The sequence below is a fragment of the Homo sapiens genome, chromosome 6 (assembly GCF_000001405.40).
Source record: "Homo sapiens chromosome 6, GRCh38.p14 Primary Assembly".
NCBI lineage: Eukaryota > Metazoa > Chordata > Mammalia > Primates > Hominidae > Homo > Homo sapiens.
Window position 1 is genome coordinate 7,260,719 of NC_000006.12, and position 17,500 is coordinate 7,278,218.

At 50.5% G+C, this 17,500-nt stretch overlaps 10 annotated features.

Moving 5' to 3' along the window:
* Positions 360–1,151: an enhancer, noted in NCBI's record as "H3K27ac-H3K4me1 hESC enhancer chr6:7261311-7262102 (GRCh37/hg19 assembly coordinates)". NCBI's record gives its function as "activates a minimal SCP1, AML or CMV promoter by ChIP-STARR-seq in naive and primed H9 embryonic stem cells {active_cell/tissue: H9 hESC(naive and primed)}" and the evidence as "EXISTENCE:reporter gene assay evidence [ECO:0000049][PMID:30033119]".
* Positions 388–517: a silencer, noted in NCBI's record as "silent region_16887". NCBI's record gives its function as "represses an Ori minimal core promoter by ATAC-STARR-seq in GM12878 lymphoblastoid cells {active_cell/tissue: GM12878}" and the evidence as "EXISTENCE:reporter gene assay evidence [ECO:0000049][PMID:35858748]".
* Positions 718–837: an enhancer, noted in NCBI's record as "active region_23943". NCBI's record gives its function as "activates an Ori minimal core promoter by ATAC-STARR-seq in GM12878 lymphoblastoid cells {active_cell/tissue: GM12878}" and the evidence as "EXISTENCE:reporter gene assay evidence [ECO:0000049][PMID:35858748]".
* Positions 908–1,047: an enhancer, noted in NCBI's record as "active region_23944". NCBI's record gives its function as "activates an Ori minimal core promoter by ATAC-STARR-seq in GM12878 lymphoblastoid cells {active_cell/tissue: GM12878}" and the evidence as "EXISTENCE:reporter gene assay evidence [ECO:0000049][PMID:35858748]".
* Positions 1,152–1,943: an enhancer, noted in NCBI's record as "H3K27ac-H3K4me1 hESC enhancer chr6:7262103-7262894 (GRCh37/hg19 assembly coordinates)". NCBI's record gives its function as "activates a minimal SCP1, AML or CMV promoter by ChIP-STARR-seq in naive and primed H9 embryonic stem cells {active_cell/tissue: H9 hESC(naive and primed)}" and the evidence as "EXISTENCE:reporter gene assay evidence [ECO:0000049][PMID:30033119]".
* Positions 1,641–1,816: a silencer, noted in NCBI's record as "fragment chr6:7262592-7262767 (GRCh37/hg19 assembly coordinates)". NCBI's record gives its function as "represses an EF-1alpha promoter that drives an FKBP-Casp9 reporter gene in an ReSE screen in phorbol 12-myristate 13-acetate-treated (for megakaryocytic differentiation) K562 erythroleukemia cells {active_cell/tissue: K562(+PMA)}" and the evidence as "EXISTENCE:reporter gene assay evidence [ECO:0000049][PMID:32094911]".
* Positions 6,618–7,119: an enhancer, noted in NCBI's record as "H3K4me1 hESC enhancer chr6:7267569-7268070 (GRCh37/hg19 assembly coordinates)". NCBI's record gives its function as "activates a minimal SCP1, AML or CMV promoter by ChIP-STARR-seq in primed H9 embryonic stem cells {active_cell/tissue: H9 hESC(primed)}" and the evidence as "EXISTENCE:reporter gene assay evidence [ECO:0000049][PMID:30033119]".
* Positions 6,698–6,992: a silencer, noted in NCBI's record as "tiled region #14963; HepG2 Repressive non-DNase unmatched - State 10:DNaseD, and K562 Repressive DNase unmatched - State 20:ReprD". NCBI's record gives its function as "represses a minimal TATA promoter and a strong SV40 promoter by Sharpr-MPRA in HepG2 and K562 cells {active_cell/tissue: HepG2 | K562}" and the evidence as "EXISTENCE:reporter gene assay evidence [ECO:0000049][PMID:27701403]".
* Positions 12,714–13,215: an enhancer, noted in NCBI's record as "H3K4me1 hESC enhancer chr6:7273665-7274166 (GRCh37/hg19 assembly coordinates)". NCBI's record gives its function as "activates a minimal SCP1, AML or CMV promoter by ChIP-STARR-seq in naive H9 embryonic stem cells {active_cell/tissue: H9 hESC(naive)}" and the evidence as "EXISTENCE:reporter gene assay evidence [ECO:0000049][PMID:30033119]".
* Positions 15,459–15,628: an enhancer, noted in NCBI's record as "experimental_94357 CRE fragment used in MPRA reporter constructs". NCBI's record gives its function as "activates a minimal promoter by MPRAs in K562 erythroleukemia cells, with activity observed for the introgressed 6:7276495 variant allele {active_cell/tissue: K562}" and the evidence as "EXISTENCE:reporter gene assay evidence [ECO:0000049][PMID:34662402]".

The window sequence follows — 17,500 nt, forward strand, 5'->3', positions numbered from 1 at the left end:
TCTGGAGCCCAGGGGTCGGGTAAGAGCTACAGCCAGGTTGGGGTTATTGTGGGAGGAGCCGTAGGAGTGAATGAGATCAGGAAAGGTGGCCGGGGTAGACCTAGGACCTAGGGACCTAGGAAAGAGACAGACACGCTGGGGAAGAAGCGTCAGAGGACAGAGGGTGAGACGCTTGAAAAGGAAGTGGGCGAGAACAGTGTTGCCTAAAAAGAGGGAGCCCAGTTCCCTGAAGGTGAGGGTGAAGACAGGCCATTGGGCTGAGACGATGGGCAAAGGGCAGGGTGTGGGCAGAGCTGGTTTGGGACCCAGAGCAGTGGAAGGGCAGAGCAGCCCTTGCCGAGACCAAGGGACAGCAGGGCTGAATGACCGCAATGCAGCACCCGCTTCGCTTTGCAAATAAAATGCGGACTGCGCGAGAAAGCCTGGCTTTTAGCGTCCATGCGTGTCCAGGAACAGCGACCAGGGCAAGTGCTTGAGTGCGCCAGGCTGGGCGAGGCAGGGAGGGACTGAGGGCTGGGTCCGGGGGAGAGGAGTGGCCAGGGAGGAGGGGCGACCCAAAGGCCTCCGGTGATGCGCTGACAGAAGGTAAAAACAAGGAACAAAGCAAAACCACACACAGGACGGCAGCGCGGAGTCCGGGCCCTGCCCTCTGCAGCAGCGCAGCCCGGGGACTCTGGGGCTCTCCCTGCTGCCTGTGGAATTTCCAGGCCAGCGCATCTGATTGGCCTGGCCTGGGGCAGTGGGTGGGGATTTGGATGTTTCCAGAGAAGGGAAGATGGCGGTGAGACAGCCGCTCGGCAGCTCCAGAGGGGTCGATCCCGCGACAGGGGAAGGGGGCGTGGGCGTCACATGGCAGCGCTGAGACTTGAGTGCTGGAACAGCCCAGCGAGGAAGGTCCCAAAGACAGCTCTTTTCACCAGAGACAGGCCGTGCGTTTGCGGTGCGGGCTCCACCCGCAGTTCTGCTTCAGGTAGAAAAGGGATGAGGGTGCCGGGCCAGCTTGACCCGGTTTCCGCAGGGGCAGAAGCACTTCTTACCTTCGGCCTGCAGAGCCCCTCAAGCAACAGGGAACCACATTCTCCTGCCCTTGGAAAAAGTTGACCCGCTTCACAGTGAAGCCAGAGAGGCGAGGTGGGGGCGGCGGGGGGATTTGGATGGGACTTCCAGACGCCTTTCTTCTTCCCAGTGCCTACCTAGGGATGGGGACGCTAGGACAGCTGAAGCTGGCACATATCTGATCACTGTTCCTCAAGCACCTCTTTGTCCATGCACCCTCCCTGCCCAACACCTCCAATGGCCTCTGAGGCTTGGAGAATGACATCCAAGCTCTGCTTCCCAAACAGGCCCAAGCCCACCCTCTGCCTCCCAACTCATCCGACCATGACCACCATCTGTCACCCTTTGCAGCCACGCCCTGTGGTGACCACGCCCACAGACGGCCCTGGTGACCTCGCCGACAGATGGGCACGACCTTGAATGGCTCTGCTTTTGATAGTCACGCCCCTTGTAGCCATGTCCTGTGATGGCCACACCCACCAATGAGCATGCCCTCAGGTGACCACTCTCAGACACCCTGGGATCCAGCTGCCCTCACACCCCCGGGGCATGCCTGGGCACACCTGTCCTCTCTTTGGCCCTCCCCTAAAAAGCCCTCCAAATCCTAAATCCTTCTTCCAAATCCTGTTCTGCTGCTTCAGTCTCACCACCTCCTTGAGGCCCCCTGTGACTACCCCAGCTCTCTGGTGTTCACTCGCTTGGTTCCTACGATACATTGGAGCACATTTGCCTTTTTAAAAATAAGCTGAGCTGTCTCCACAGCTAGATTTTCAGATCCCGAAGGATAGGATGGAGGCAATTATTCTTTTTTGTGTACCATCCAAAACTTATCCCAGCACCAAATACCTTTTAGCTATTCAGTCTATGTCTCTTTTTTTTTGAAATGGAGTTTTTGTTCTGTTGCCCGGGCTGGAGTGCAATGGCATGATCTCAGCTCACTGCAACCTCCGCCTCCTGGGTTCAAGCGATTCTCCTGCCTCAGCCTTCCGAGTAGCTGAGATTACAAGCACCCGCCGCCACACCCAGCTAATTTTTTGTAATTTTAGTAGAGATGGGGTTTCACCATGTTGGCCAGGCTGGTCTTGAACTCTTGAGCTCAAGTGATCCACCCGCCTCAGCCTTCCAAAGTGCCGGGATTACAGGCGTGAGCCAACGGGCCCGGCCTGGCTCCCGAGAGCTTTCTAATGTGCAAGGAGGGCTGGGACTGGCTGATCTAAGGGTACCCTGGGAGTGCGATAGTGTGGTCAGCTTATGGGATTTGGAGCCAAACGGCCCCAGTCCAAGCCCTCACCTCACTCTCTGTGTGCGATCCAGCAGCCCTGGGCCTCAGTCATCTTCATCTCCCATATGGGTTTAAAATGCCCACTGCCCAGAACACACAGTGCCTACAGAGCTGCAGATGAGTCGAGCCCCTAAAGCGATAGCCCCCAAGCCTCCCTCAGAACCTAAGGGCTACACTGAGATAGACCCTCAGTCTTCTATACCCAGGGACATGTGGGGACAATGCAACACTCTCAAAAGAGGTGGCTCAAACAATGTCAACCGTAGTCATTTTATAGTGCTGGGAAAAGAATAGCCTTAATTTTACATCTGATTATAGAGGGAAGGATTCATAGTGTCCCTAAATTGACCTGTCTAAATATTTCCACATAATATGCACAATTGTCATCTGCAGGCACAAACGTTTCCTTTTCTTTTCTTCCCTTTTTTTTTTTTTTTTGAGACTGAGTTTCACTCTTGTTGCCCAGGCTGGAGTGCAGTGGCGCCATCTCGGCTCACCACAACCTCCGCCTCCCGGGTTCAAGGGATCTCCTGCCTCAGTCTCCCGAGTAGCTGGGATTACAGGCATGCACCACCACGCCCAGCTTTTTAGTAGAGATGGGGTTTCTCCATGTTGGTCAGGCTGGTCTCAACTCCTGACCTCAGGTGATCCACCTGCCTCAGCCTCCCAAAGTCCTGGGAATACAGGCGTGAGCCACCGCGCTCAGCCAAATGTTTCCTTTTCTTTTTTTCTTCCTTTCTTTTTTCTTTTTCTTTCTTTTTTTTTTTTTTTTTTTTTTTTTTTGAGATGGAGTGTCGTTCTTGTTGCCCAGGCTGGAGTGCAATGGTACAATCTCAGCTTACTGCAACCTCTGCCTCCTGGGTTCAAGTGATTCTCCTGCCTCAGCCTCCCAAGTTGCTGGGATTACAGGCGCCTGCCACTACGCCTGGCTAATTTTGGTTATTTTTAGTAGAGATGGAGTTTCGTCATGTTAGCTAGGCTGGTCTCGAACTCCTGACCTCAGGTGATCCACCAGCCTCGGCCTTCCAAAGTGCTGGGATTACAGGCGTGAGCCACCTTGCCTGGCCCAAACGTTTCCTTTTCTAAGAGGCCGTGGGGTGTCCTGGATCTGGGCAAAAAGGGCACTTCAGGGCGCGGGGCCCCACGAGGCGATGCCCTTGTTGGCCTGTCTTGGTATTGCTGCCCACCTGAGCCGGGGGAGTGGGCCGTAAACTCGCAATATTCCTCCACCCTGCTGCCCACCACAGGAATGCTTGCCTGTGAAAGTCATGGGTCCCCTTTGTGTCCCAGAGTTGTTGAACAAGATCCTGGTATACACCATCATCACACCACATGCCGGGAAGGCCGGAGGATTCTGGGACCGGAGCTCAGGTTTTATTTTTTATTGATACTAGAGAGAGGCTTAGAAGCTTTTCTAATTCTAAGAACCTGCTTAGAATTATACAAACTGAAGGGGATGGGGCTTCAAGTATTTTCAAGAGCTTGGGGGTTGCAGGTGTTACATGTTTGTCTGAAGATGAAGTTAACTAGATCACGAGGTAAGGAAGGGCAGCTTCAACTTCAGATGGTAACTCTTAAGTAGTATGCAAAGCCCTTATCCACATAGATAGCCAAGTCTGTAGGAAATACTGCTTGCTCTACGCTGAGCTAAGTCTCGCCAAAACCATACGGTGAAGCCCCCACTACCTCAGAATGGGACTGTATCTGAGATAGGGCCCTTACAAAGGTAATTCAGTTTCAGTGAGGCCATCAGGGTAGGTCCTAATTCAATCTGACGAGTGTCCTTATAAGAGGAGCTTGTAACACAGACTCAGAGGACGCGGCAGGAGGAGACGGCTGCAAACCAAGGCGAGGCCTGGGGGAAACCAACCCTGTCGAAGCCTTCCTCTCGGGCTTCCAGCTCCTCGGACAGTGAGGAAATCTGTCTCTACTGTGTAAGCCCCCCAGACAGAGGGCTTTGCTGTGGCATCCAGCCCTGACTAGTGCACTGCCCTGGTGGATTTTCTGCATGTTCCTGATACAGCTGACAGACAAGTGGATGATGACAGGGCTTTTTCATTATGGAGTCTCATGAGATGCTGCGGGCACAGCACACAGGACACTCTCCATCAGCATTAGGGACCGACACAACCATCGCAATGACAACCCTTCTCTTACTGCTCACGGGAGAACGCATGACCCAAGGTCCAAGGTCCAAGGCCTGTGCTGGGCAAGTTATAAATCAAATCCACAAATCTTCACTGGGCTCCTACAATACCATACCAGGTATGGAAAGCACTGCTTTAATCACGCTGGCTGGTCCTCACATTTCTTTCTTTCTTTTTTTGTTTGAGACTGAGTCTCGCTCTGTCATCCAGGCTGAAGTGCAGTGGTGCAATCTCGACTCTCTGCAACCTCCACTTCCCAGGTTCACATGATTCTAGTGCCTCAGCCTCCCGAGTAGCTGGGATTATGGGCGCCCGCCACCATGCCTGGCTAATTTTTGTATTTGTAGTAGAGACGGGGTTTCACAATGTTGGCCATGCTGGTCTTGAACTCCTGATCCCAAGCGATTTGCCCACCTCAGCCTCCCAAAGTGCTGGGATAACAGGCTTGAGCCACTGTGCCCAGTGTGGTCCCCACATTTCATTAAAATATCTTTATGGAATTCAGAGAAACAAGAAAAGTTATGGAGTTTTTTTTGGGAAAGTCAGGAAATTCCTCTGTCCTAGAACTAGATAGGGTGTCTTGAGTTCTCTTTGATTGGGAATATTTATTCGTCTAAAGGGGGTTTCTCAGCTCTGGGTGCCTATCTGTAAAATGGATGCTACCAGTTTATCTGTTCAATCTAATGGCAAGAAGCCTATGAAGGACAGAGTGTGAGGGCAAGGAGAACAAGGTGGTACAGTCCCTCTCTCCCACCCCTCCGAGCTGTGTGGCCTTGGTAAGAGGATTGGTATTGTATTGGGAGTGGTGAGAGGCTGGACAGAGGAGCTCTTGAGGCCCCTTCCAATTCTCCTGCTCCTCCGATCAAATAATAGGTTTGCCAAGTTCCCACACCCTGGACTCTACTGTCAAGGACCAGACAATCTTTGGGAACTGTGCCCCTTATCAATTTAGTGCCACACAGCTCCAAGTTCATCCTTCATTGCCTGCTTTGAGAAAATGGATCTGGCCCCTTTAGACATGTTTCCTTTGTGTGCTGACATGGTGTTAGGTTTTGTCAGAGAGAGAAGTGATAGGACACGGCCAGAAGGTTTTTCTTCCTGTGCTATGTGTCCACTTGGCTGACTCCTGCCATGCTCATGGACCCTCCAGCACCAGGCTCCTGCAGTGCGTGGTGGTCAGCAGCACCCAGCAGCCAGCAGCTTCCTCCAACCTCTTCAAGCAGTTTGTGGCTGACTTCCTCCAGGAAGGCACTTCTCTTACAGGAACAGTTTAACTCTGGCCCCCCCCAGAGCTGGATATCCAGCAACTCCCACTGCTTTGGCACCAACAGCAACTTCTCAGCCCTTCGGTGAGTCGGGGCAGTGCTCTCTCAAATGAGGGCTCGAGGTGGGGTGGAGGAGCGGTTGGATGAGAGGCTGTTTCTTTTTTTTTTTTTTTTTGAGACAGAGTCTTGCTCTGTCGCCCAGAGACTGAAGTGCAGTGGCAGGATCTCAGCTGAGAGGCTGTTTCTTATAGCTGCTCTTCCTAGATGATTGGAGTTGACTTCTTACTAGCCAACCCCTCACTACTCTAAACCTGTTACAGTTATGTCAAACTTCCCCCATTCAAATTAATATGTGGTTTCCTCTCTTGCTTGGTACAGCATTGGTACCATGAGTAGTCCCAGCCATAGACCTGCAAAGATGGGATTTGGAAGCTGGTTGTGCCTTTGGGCTTGAGCACAGTGCTGAGCTCCTTGCTGGTGGTACATTGGGTTCCTACTGGGAACAGACTTATCATTCCCAGGGGCCCTTCTTCCAATCCTGTGTAGCCTGCTGATAAATGATCACCCCTAGATCCAGGACGTGACCAAGCCCCACGGGTGATGGCAGCACAGCCTTCCAAGGGACATCTGGGGTTTCCACCTGTGACCTTGGTAACACTGGAAGCATTTCTGGGTGCTGGAATCAAGGCACTGCATGGATGCCCAGAAATGCTCCTAAGTGGCCTCAGAGCCACAGGTCTCTGCTGCACCGCTTAGGAGATGGCATCACCCTGAGCAAGGGACCCTGGCGGGGACCACTGGGCGGCGTGACCCAGGCTCACCCATCTTCAGATCGGGGCACTGGGTGTCTGTCATATGTCCAGAATACCATACTACTGTCACAGGCCGGGCTTGAAACCAAGGATGGGCACACAGAAGAGAAAGGCACATCTGGTCAAATCAAAGTGCTGCAAATATTGCGACTGTCCCGGCACCTCAGTCTCAGGAGAGCCAGTGAGGGCTTCCTTCAGTCTGGCTGATGCCTCATCTCTCTCCAATCCATCTTTTTCTCAGAGGCCCCTGTACCAGCATCACCCATCAGGGAACTGATCAGCAAGCAATTCTGGGCCCAATTCCAGGCCGACTGACTCAGAATTTCGGGGGTGGAGCCCAGCAGTCTGTGTGTGGACAAGTCCTGCAGGCAACTGTGCTGTGTGGTGAAGTGCAACAATTACTCATGTGCCAGGGGCAAATCCTGGCAGGCCCAGCCTGCAAATCACTGAATGCCCCCGCACCCCCGCTGGCTGACAGAGGCTTACCACCCGCCCCCAACACACACACTGTCAATCTCTGAATTCCCATGTAGAGCTTGTTTTAAAATGCAGCTTCCTGGGTCGGCTCCCTGAGATTCTGCTGGAGTAGGTATGTGTGTGTGTTCTGGGTGGTTCTGATGCGTGTGGCTCACAGGCTGAGTGTGCGATGCCTCTCTCTGCCTGTGACTCTGTGTGCACGTGTGTGCCTCTGTCAGGTGGCAAGTGAGCACTGCGTCTCCGCCCTCTCCTGTGTTCGCCTCAGATGCAGCGCACCTCTGCTCCTGTTGCCTCCCAGGTCCCCTGTGTCCTTCTTACCTTCACCTTTTTCCAAAATCCCCACTCCCATTCTCAAAGGCTCAGCTCAAAGATCTCCTCCTCCTGAAGCCTCTCGCCCCCCTCCCCACTCCCACCCACCACCCCCAATATGTTCTTGCTGCAAGTCCATAATATTAGTTATGGGCCCGGCTAGTGTGAAGACAGGCAGCGGCTGTCTTACTCAGCTGTGACTCCCCAGAGCCTGGCACTCAGCAAGAGATTCATACTTATTTGTAGGCCTTTCAATTCAGTTTATTTCAGTCTAATCTGATTCAGGGCAATTCAACTCCACTCACGTCAGCACAAGGGAAGAGCGCCCCGGAGCCCACAATGGGCACCAACACACAGACAGTGGCCTCAGGCAGCCCGGCTGGAAGGAGCCCACTGGTCTCACAGGCGTAACCCGTGTTTGCAGGCATAACTCGTGCGCACGTGTGGCACTGCTCGGCCTGGGCACCGAGCGCTCCCCGTGCCTCAGGTCCCTCCAGACATGCCCCCTCCACCGCCCCTCCTGAGGACGCTCATCTTTGAAAATGTCCTAAGACGGAACTGGAAGCTCTAAGGTACGCGTTCCAACCATCACGTGGCAGGGGCTGGTGGGCTTCACGCAGAGCCCCCTGTCTTCTGGCCTCATTCACCATCAGTGTAGTGGGTGGGGACAGCTGACCCAAGGGCCCTACTGCATGGGTCGCACGGTTCAGCCAGTCCTTGCTGGCGGGACCTGCATCCCCATCCTACTGGCTGGCAGAGTAGGACTGGTTTCCTGGGACATCTCCACCCAGAAACAGCACACGACAGCTGTTATTCATCAGCCACAAAGCCCTAGTGACACAGCCATGCCCAGCGGTGACTTCCCAGAGCCATCCGGCGGAGGGCCCGGTTGAACAGGCGGCTGCTGTCCTAAGTTTCACAAATTGCAAAACGATGCAGAAAAGATGGCCGGGTCTCCAGGAACGGCTGTGCTGGGGGATGTCCTGAAGCAGCCACGGCGGAAGCGCTGGCCTTGCACCTGGAGACTGCGAGGCGCCCGAGCTGCAGGAGCGGCCCGATGTCATCAGTGCGTCTCCCTCCTCCTGCGTCTGAAAGAGCAAAGGGAGACAGTGACCTCCTGAGAGGCTTCCAGACGCCCCGCCAGGCACTTCCCTACTGGTGCATGAAGTGTGTGGCTGGACAGAGGCAGCAGGGCGGGGGGCCCAAGACTCTCTGCTGCTCTGTCCAGGCCAAATAGTTCCCACAATCAAAGACCCAGAGACTCTCCCCTCACACCCATCCACCCTCCCATGAAGAAACACATGGAAAAATCTAGGATGGGGTTCCAAGTTTCTAAAACTGGTCCATTCTGTGATTCCCCAAAGGAAGGATAAATATCATGCTTTTTTCTTGGGATTTGATCAGAGTTTCATGCTTTCAGTGAGAATCTGGCATAAAAAGAAACCCCAACATTTAGCCATGCTTCACGAGTAAAGCAGTGAAAACTGCACACAAAGACCTATCTGGAGAGATTTGGAGGTTTCTGCTTTGTAACTCAATCAGCTCCGAAATCTCACTCATTCTTTCATTCACTCAAGAAATCTTAATATATTAAGTGCCTACTATGTGCCAGGCCCATAGGAGCTGGGGCACCATCATGAGCAAGATGAGGTCCCCTGAGCCTTGCAGTCAAGCGGGGGAAGAGACACACACCAAGATGGCTTGGTCAGTGCAGGTGAGGCACTGTACCCAGGACTCAGGTGAGGGAACAGACACCTACCCTAACTGTGGGTGCCTGGAGGGGTCTATGCAAGCTTTCTTAGAAGAGGGGTCATGAATACGGAGGTTGTAAAAAATAAATAAGACCCCACCATTCCCAAGTCATCAGTATCCACATCACCAGTAACGGGGCCAACCCAGCAGCACCATGTGGTCCTTGAGATGCTGAGCTGGGAAGGCCAGAGCATTGCTGCAGGGCTGTTCTTGCCAAAAAGGCAGAATCTGAATCTAATCCAGAGGAAGGATCACACAAACTCTCCCTGGGGTACTCTCTGCAAAACAACTAGCCTGCGCTCTTTAAAAATGCCAGGGACGCTGAAAGAGAGGCTGTTCCAGAACAAAGGAAACCAAGACATGACAACTAAACATACTGCGTGATCCCAAACCAGGAAAAAAAATAGCCATCAAGAGGATTGCTGAGACAATTAGTGAAATCTGAGCACAGCCTGTAGTTTAGAAACCATTACAAAAATGTTAAATTTCCTGACTTTTATAACTGTAGTTTAGTTATGTAAGAGAATGTTTGGGCCGGGTACGGTGGCTCACGCCTGTAATCCCAGCATTTTGGGAGGCCGAGGCGGGTGGATCACCTGAGGTCGGGAGTTTGAGACCAGCCTGACCAACATGGAGAAATCCCATGTCTACTAAAAGTACAAAATTAGCCGGGTGTGATGGCGCATGCCTGTAATCCCAGCTACGGGAGGCTGAGGCAGGAGAATTGCTTGAACCTGGGAGGCGGAGGTTGCGGTGAGCCGAGATCACGCCACTGCACTCCAGCCTGGACAACAAGAGCAAAACTGTCTCTGAAAAAAAAAAAAAAAAAGAATGTTTGTTCTTAGGAGGTAAACACTGGTGGATTTGGGGGAAGGGGAAATAGCATATCTGCAATTCACTCCCAGAGAGCTCAGAAAAATATACATATGGTGGGTGTGTGCATTTGTATATGGTGAAATGCTAACCACGATCTGGGTGAAGGTGAAGGGCACAGGGAATTTCTTTATACTATTTTGTAACTTTTGTGTAAGTTTGAAGGTGGCAGAGAGTCTGGGAGAGAGGGCAGCCTGTGCAGGCAGGAGGTGGCACCAGTGTGGTGTGCACAGGGAATGAGCTGCTGGGCTGGAGTACAAATTCACAGCAGGACCAGTGAGACAGAAGGGCCAAAGGGCAGGCAGAGGCTAATGGTGGAGAACTTTGTCCTGATGGTTGTGGGGAACCTTTAGAAGGTTTCCAGCAGGAGAGAGCAACAGGGTCAGAATGCTATTTGACAATGACCACAGAAGCAGCTCAGGTGGTGGGCTGGAAGGGGACCAGACTGGCAGCTGGGAGAGTGGGGCAGGGCTCTCACAGCACTGCAGCCAAAGGCGGGCACCACGCCCACACGGGGCAGCACACGGGAACCAAGAGTTGCCACACATTCCTAAGGCCCAGAGCAGGGCAGGGCCGCCGAAGAGCTGGATATAAAAGACTGTTAAGAGGCAGGAGGATGGAGGGGGTCTGCACAAAGGGAGTTTCTTCTGGAAGCGATGGCACCAACCGAGACAGGAAAAACTGCAGGAAAAAGTGGTTTGGGGCTGGGCGCGGTGTCTCACGCCTGTAATCCCAACACTTTGGGAGTCTGTGGCGGGTGGATCACCTGAGGTCGGGAATTCGAGACCAGCCTGACCAACATGGAGAAACCCTGTCTTTACTGAAAACATAAAAAATTAGCCAGGCATAGTGGTGCATGCCTGTAATCCCAGCTACTCGGGAGGCTGAGGCGGGAGAATCGCTTGAACCCGGGAGGTGGAGGTTTTGGTGAGCCAAGATCGCACCACTGCACTCCAGCCTGGGCAACAAGAGCAAAACTCTGTCTCCAGAAAAAAAAAGAAAAGTGGTTTAGGGAAGGAAAATGATCAATCCCCATATGGAGTTCCAGGTGCCTCTGGGATACGGGTGTTTGGCTGGGTCTACCGTTCGCTGGAGAGAGTGGGGGCACTCCTGGGGCCAGCCTACCCACCTCCAGATCCTGGCTACCTTTCTCACTAGCTGGGCAGCCTTACCGTTCTATACCTCAATTTGCTCAGCTCTAAAATGGTGATATCATAACCTGTCTCAGATAGAGAACGGTATGAGTGAAGACAAGTCAGATGCTCTCAGATAGAGAACGGGATGAGTGAACACAAGTCAGATGCTCTCAGATAGAGAACGGTATGAGTGAACACAAGTCAGATGCTCTCAGATAGAGAACGGTATGAGTGAACACAAGTCAGATGCTCTCAGAGAACGGTATGAGTGAACACAAGTCAGATGCTCTCAGATAGAGAACGGGATGAGTGAACACAAGTCAGATGCTCTCAGAGAACGGTATGAGTGAACACAAGTCAGATGCTCTCAGATAGAGAACGGGATGAGTGAACACAAGTCAGATGCTCTCAGGTAGAGAACGGTATGAGTGAACACAAGTCAGATGCTCTCAGGTAGAGAACGGGATGAGTGAACACAAGTCAGATGCTCTCAGATAGAGAACGGTATGAGTGAACACAAGTCAGATGCTCTCAGATAGAGAATGGTATGAGTGAACACAAGTCAGATGCTCTCAGATAGAGAACGGTATGAGTGAACACAAGTCAGATGCTCTCAGAGAACGGGATGAGTGAACACAAGTCAAATGCTCTCAGATAGAGAACGGGATGAGTGAACACAAGTCAAATGCTCTCAGATAGAGAACGGTATGAGTGAACACAAGTCAAATGCTCTCAGAGAACGGGATGAGTGAACACAAGTCAGATGCTCTCAGATAGAGAACGGGATGAGTGAAGACAAGTCAGATGCTCTCAGATAGAGAACGGTATGAGTGAAGACAAGTCAGATGCTCTCAGAGAACGGTATGAGTGAAGACAAGTCAGATGCTCTCAGATAGAGAACGGTATGAGTGAACACAAGTCAGATGCTCTCAGATAGAGAACGGTATGAGTGAACACAAGTCAGATGCTCTCAGAGAACGGTATGAGTGAACACAAGTCAGATGCTCTCAGATAGAGAACGGGATGAGTGAACACAAGTCAGATGCTCTCAGATAGAGAACGGGATGAGTGAACACAAGTCAGATGCTCTCAGATAGAGAACGGTATGAGTGAACACAAGTCAGATGCTCTCAGGTAGAGAACGGGATGAGTGAACACAAGTCAGATGCTCTCAGGTAGAGAACGGTATGAGTGAACACAAGTCAGATGCTCTCAGGTAGAGAACGGTATGAGTGAACACAAGTCAGATGCTCTCAGGTAGAGAACGGTATGAGTGAACACAAGTCAGATGCTCTCAGGTAGAGAACGGTATGAGTGAACACAAGTCAGATGCTCTCAGAGAACGGTATGAGTGAACACAAGTCAGATGCTCTCAGGTAGAGAATGGTATGAGTGAACACAAGTCAGATGCTCTCAGATAGAGAACGGTATGAGTGAACACAAGTCAGATGCTCTCAGATAGAGAACGGTATGAGTGAACACAAGTCAGATGCTCTCAGATAGAGAACGGTATGAGTGAACACAAGTCAGATGCTCTCAGATAGAGAACGGTATGAGTGAACACAAGTCAGATGCTCTCAGAGAACGGTATGAGTGAACACAAGTCAGATGCTCTCAGAGAACGGTATGAGTGAACACAAGTCAGATGCTCTCAGGTAGAGAATGGTATGAGTGAACACAAGTCAGATGCTCTCAGATAGAGAACGGGATGAGTGAACACAAGTCAGATGCTCTCAGATAGAGAACGGTATGAGTGAACACAAGTCAGATGCTCTCAGATAGAGAACGGTATGAGTGAACACAAGTCAAATGCTCTCAGAGAACGGGATGAGTGAACACAAGTCAAATGCTCTCAGATAGAGAACGGGATGAGTGAACACAAGTCAAATGCTTTGAGGGTCCCAGGTCAGAGCTAAGTGCTCAGTAAGGGGCAGCAGCCCCCACCCATTTCAGGTGACCTTGCAGCTATGAAACAAAGGGTGAGAAGTATCAGGAAGGGGTCACGGAACACGGCTGGGCAGCAGGAGCCTCATCAGACACAGGCTCCCCCCGCCCTCGGCGTGCTGGTGCCAGCCTGCCACATGGCTGCTTAGGGACGTCGTGGCTGTCAGCCACAGCTTGCCCTGGGTAACGGTGTGCAGCACGCTTGTGGGAAAACCAGCAGCACTTGTTAAAATACAGACTCCTGGGCCCCAGCCCAGTGTCAGAGCCTCCCTGGGGATGGCATCCTGAACCTTGCACTTCAAGGAAGCCCCACCCTTTACCCCCAGTCTCGGGGCACTTTGCAAGTGCCACAGAGCAGGAAGGAATTGCTGAAGTAACGTGTTTTGGAGGGAGAGAGCTAATGGCCATCATTTCCATCTTTTATCTCAGGTCATCACTTGGACCCTTTAATTTACATAATTCAATAGAATCTGTAAGGTTTCAAGGAGCCAGACAATTATCTTAATAAAGGCAGTGTTTCCTTGAAAACAAAATTGCTCTATGGAAATATATATATTATATATATATTATATATAATATATATATATATAATATATATTATATATATATATATAATATATATATAATATATATTATATATATATAATATATATATATATTTTTTTTTAAGACAGAGTCTCGCTCTGTCGCCCAGGCTGGAGTGCAGTGGCTCAATCTTGGCTCACTGCAACCTCCGCCTCCCAGGTTCAAGCAATTCTCCTTCTTCAGGCTCCTGAGTAGCTGAGATTACAGGCACGTGCCACCATGCCCAGCTAATTTTTGTATTTTTAGTACAGACGGGGTTTCACCATGTTGGCCAGGCTGGTCTCAAACTCCTGACCTCATGATCTGCCCGCCTCGGCCTCCCGAAGTGCTGGGATTAAGAGCCACTGCGCCCGGCCCGGAATATAGTCTTTAAAACACCCATGTAGGCTGCAGGACATTTGACCTTGGCCTGGATAACATGATTGTTCACAAAGAAAGAAGTGATAGCTCTCTTCAAACACATCAAGGGCTGTTGTAAGGGACAGAAGGCAGATTTTTTTTTTCTAAGAAGATCTGCAGAGCAGAACTAGGACATCAACAGGGAAGTTGATTTGGGTTCAAGGAGGAACTAGTATTTGAGCTGTCCAAAGACAGGCCACCTGGCCAGGTAGAGGTGTTCATACAGGTGGTTAGAGAAGAGGGTCCTGCATTGGGTAAAGAGCTGGACTAGATGACTCTTAAGATTCTTTCCAACTCGAACATTAAGTAGATGAGAGGCCGCTACCAGAAGTTCACAGGGAGGAATAAGTTGCTGATAGTGGTTTTCAGTTGGCTGACAAATAAACATGGCTTATGTAATGAAGAAATAAATATTCTTAGTGGTGAAAATTTGAAGGCTACTCTGTGCCAGGCATTGGGATCAGCTTTTTCTTAACATGCAGAACCTTTAAAAAGTAAAACCCTTGACATACAGCAAGGACTTTATTAATATTCCTAGGGTAACTAATAACTGTAGTTACTATTATCCCCATTTTGTATATGAAGAGACAGGCTGAGACAAGTGACTTGCCCAAGGTAATCTAGCCACTGAGTGGGTAAGTTTTGATTCAAACAAGGGCTAATTCCAACAGCTATTTTTTTAATACATAAAAAACTAATTTTAAATTTTTTTGTAGAGATGGGGTCTTACTATATTGCCCAGGCTGGTCTCGAACTCCTCGCCTCAAGTGATCCTCCTGCCTCGGCCTCCCAAAGTGCTGGGATTACAGGCTAGGATTACTGTTGGAGCTACCGTGCCTGGCCTCCAACAGCTATTAACCATCATACTATACTACTGACTGTCCAGCAACTGAAAATATTTGATTTGTTCATCTGAAGTCATCCTGTGTGTATACGTATATGGACATGACAGTGGCAAAGTCGACAGGTGGCCAGCTTTGTCTGTCCTCAAAGACTGCTCCTTTGGGAGGCAAGCTGCAGCACATGTTGGGCGTGGTCAGGCAGCTCTACAGATGACCCACGGGCTTGTCTCACAGCATTCATCTTTCTACCAACACAAACCATTCAAATTACTTAAAAAATCCGAGATTATTTCACTGATGTCTTAGCAAAAGCAGCATTTTTCATTTTCATTTTAATTCTGGGGTAGGGGTGGAGCACAGGCTGTTAGGCTGGTTGGAGTAGGGGGTTTGCTTTAGGAGAGAATGATTCCTAACAGTCTTGTCTTCTTCCCAGGCTTCTCCAGCTTTCTGGCAATACCAAGGGGCAGACCCGGGAATGGGTTGTTCAGTCACTGCTGTACCGCCCATGAGCGGCAGAGGGCAGCAAAACACACTCATCGGACGGGCATCAAGGGAGCCTGAGGATAACCAGGTATGCTTTAAAATGTTTTCGCATCATTTAGGGAACTCTTGCAGAGGAGAAATACTACAGATTTAAAATTATGAAACCAAAAAAACCACAGACACGAGTAACTATTTATTCTCCTTATGAGAAACTTAGAACTGGGCGTGGTGGTTCACACCTGTAATCCCAGCACTTTGGGAGGCCGAGTTGGGAGAATCACCTGAGGCCATGAGTTCGAGACCAGCCTGGGCAGCTCGGCGAGACCCTGTCTCTACTAAAAATTCAAAAAAAAATTAGCTGGGCATGGGGGCATGTGACTGTAATCACAGCTACTTGGGTGGCTGAGGAACAAGAATCCCTTGAACCTGGGAAGCGGGGGTTGCAGTGAGCTGAGATGGCGCCACAGCACTCCACTCCAGCCTCGGCAACAGGGCGAGGCTCTGACTCAAAAAACATAGAAGTGGGCCGGGCGCGGTGGCTCACGCCTGTAATCCCAGCACTTTGGGAGGGTGAGGCGGGTGGATCACGAGGTCAGGAGATCGAGACCAGCCTGCCTAACACGGTGAAACCCCGTCTCTACTAAAAATATAAAAAATTAGCTGGGCGTGGTGGCTGGCGCCTGTAGTCCCAGCTACTCAGGAGGCTGAGGCAGGAGAATGGCCGGAACCCTGGAGGCAGAGCTTGCAGTGAGCCGAGATCGTGCCACTGCACTCCAGCCTGGGTGACAGAGCGAGACTCCGTCTCAAAAAAAAAAAGCCACAAAAATTAGCCAGGGGTAGTGGCACCTGCCTGCAGTCCCAGCTACTCGGGAGGCTGAGGCAGAAGAATTGCTTGAACCTGGGAGGCGGAGGTTGCAGTGAGCCAAGACTGTGCCACTGCACTCCAGCCTGGGTGACAGAGCAAGACTCCATCTCAAAAAAGAAACAAACATACAAACAAACAAAAAAAACCATAGAAGTATACTTTTACAAATTCTTTTTTAAAAACACATACATATAATTTAAAACACAGATGGGGGTCTCACTCTGTCAACCAGGCTGGTCTCAAAATCTTGGGCTCAAGTCATCCTCCCGCCTTGGCCTCCAAAGTGCTGGGATTACAGGCGTGAGCCACTGTGCCCAGCCAACTTTTACAAATTCTCTTCTGTTTTTTTTTTTTTTGGAGACGGAGTCTCACTCTGTCACCCAGGGTGAAGTGAAGTGGCACACTCTCGGCTCACTACAACCTCCACCTCCTGAGTTCAAACAATTTTCCTGCCTCAGCCTCCCAAGCAGCTGGGACTATAGGCGCCCACCACCATGCCTGGCTAATTTTTGCATATTTAGTAGAGACGGGGTTTCACCATGTTGGCCAGGCTGGTCTCAAACTCCTAACCTCAGGTGATCCACCTGCCTTGGCCTCCCAAAGTGCTGGGATTACAAGTATGAGCAACTGTGCCCAGCCTCCTTTTACAAATTCTTAAAGACACAGCTAGTCTCCTGACGTGAGGCACTACTCAAAGGGAGCTTGAACAAATAGTTTTCCTTTGGTCTCTTTCCTCACGGGGTTCGTGTGGCAGCTTTGTGTGCCTGTGATATGTTACGGAGTTGTTTCCACTGGGAATTTGGTAACTTTGTCATTATGCGTTTAAGGAGAAAATAGTTAAGATTACAATTCACTCAATTTAGGAACCAACTTTTTATTTTGAAGCTACAGCTGTGATCTATTGTTTCACTTCCCTTTATGGAACTCACCTAATGGAATTTCACAGAAACCATCTATAGCAACGCCTATGCACTTGCTTGCCAGTTTCTGTTAAGTTTTTGTTTTAGTAAATGCTTCCTGGTTTGAGCTGCAATGTACAACCAAGATGCCATTTCCACTTCTCAAGGTGGAGCAGTCTGATCCATAACCCTGCAAGTTCCCAGCCAGAGATGCACGCATTTGTGAACAGGACACACAAACCTGTGTCCAGCTCTGCCACTTAACGGTTGTGGAATTTCTGGCAAGTTAATTTAACCTGTGTTCAATTTCCTTATTTGCAAAATGGAGATACACCTACTTCACAGTGTGATAAATAATTCACATGAAACACCTA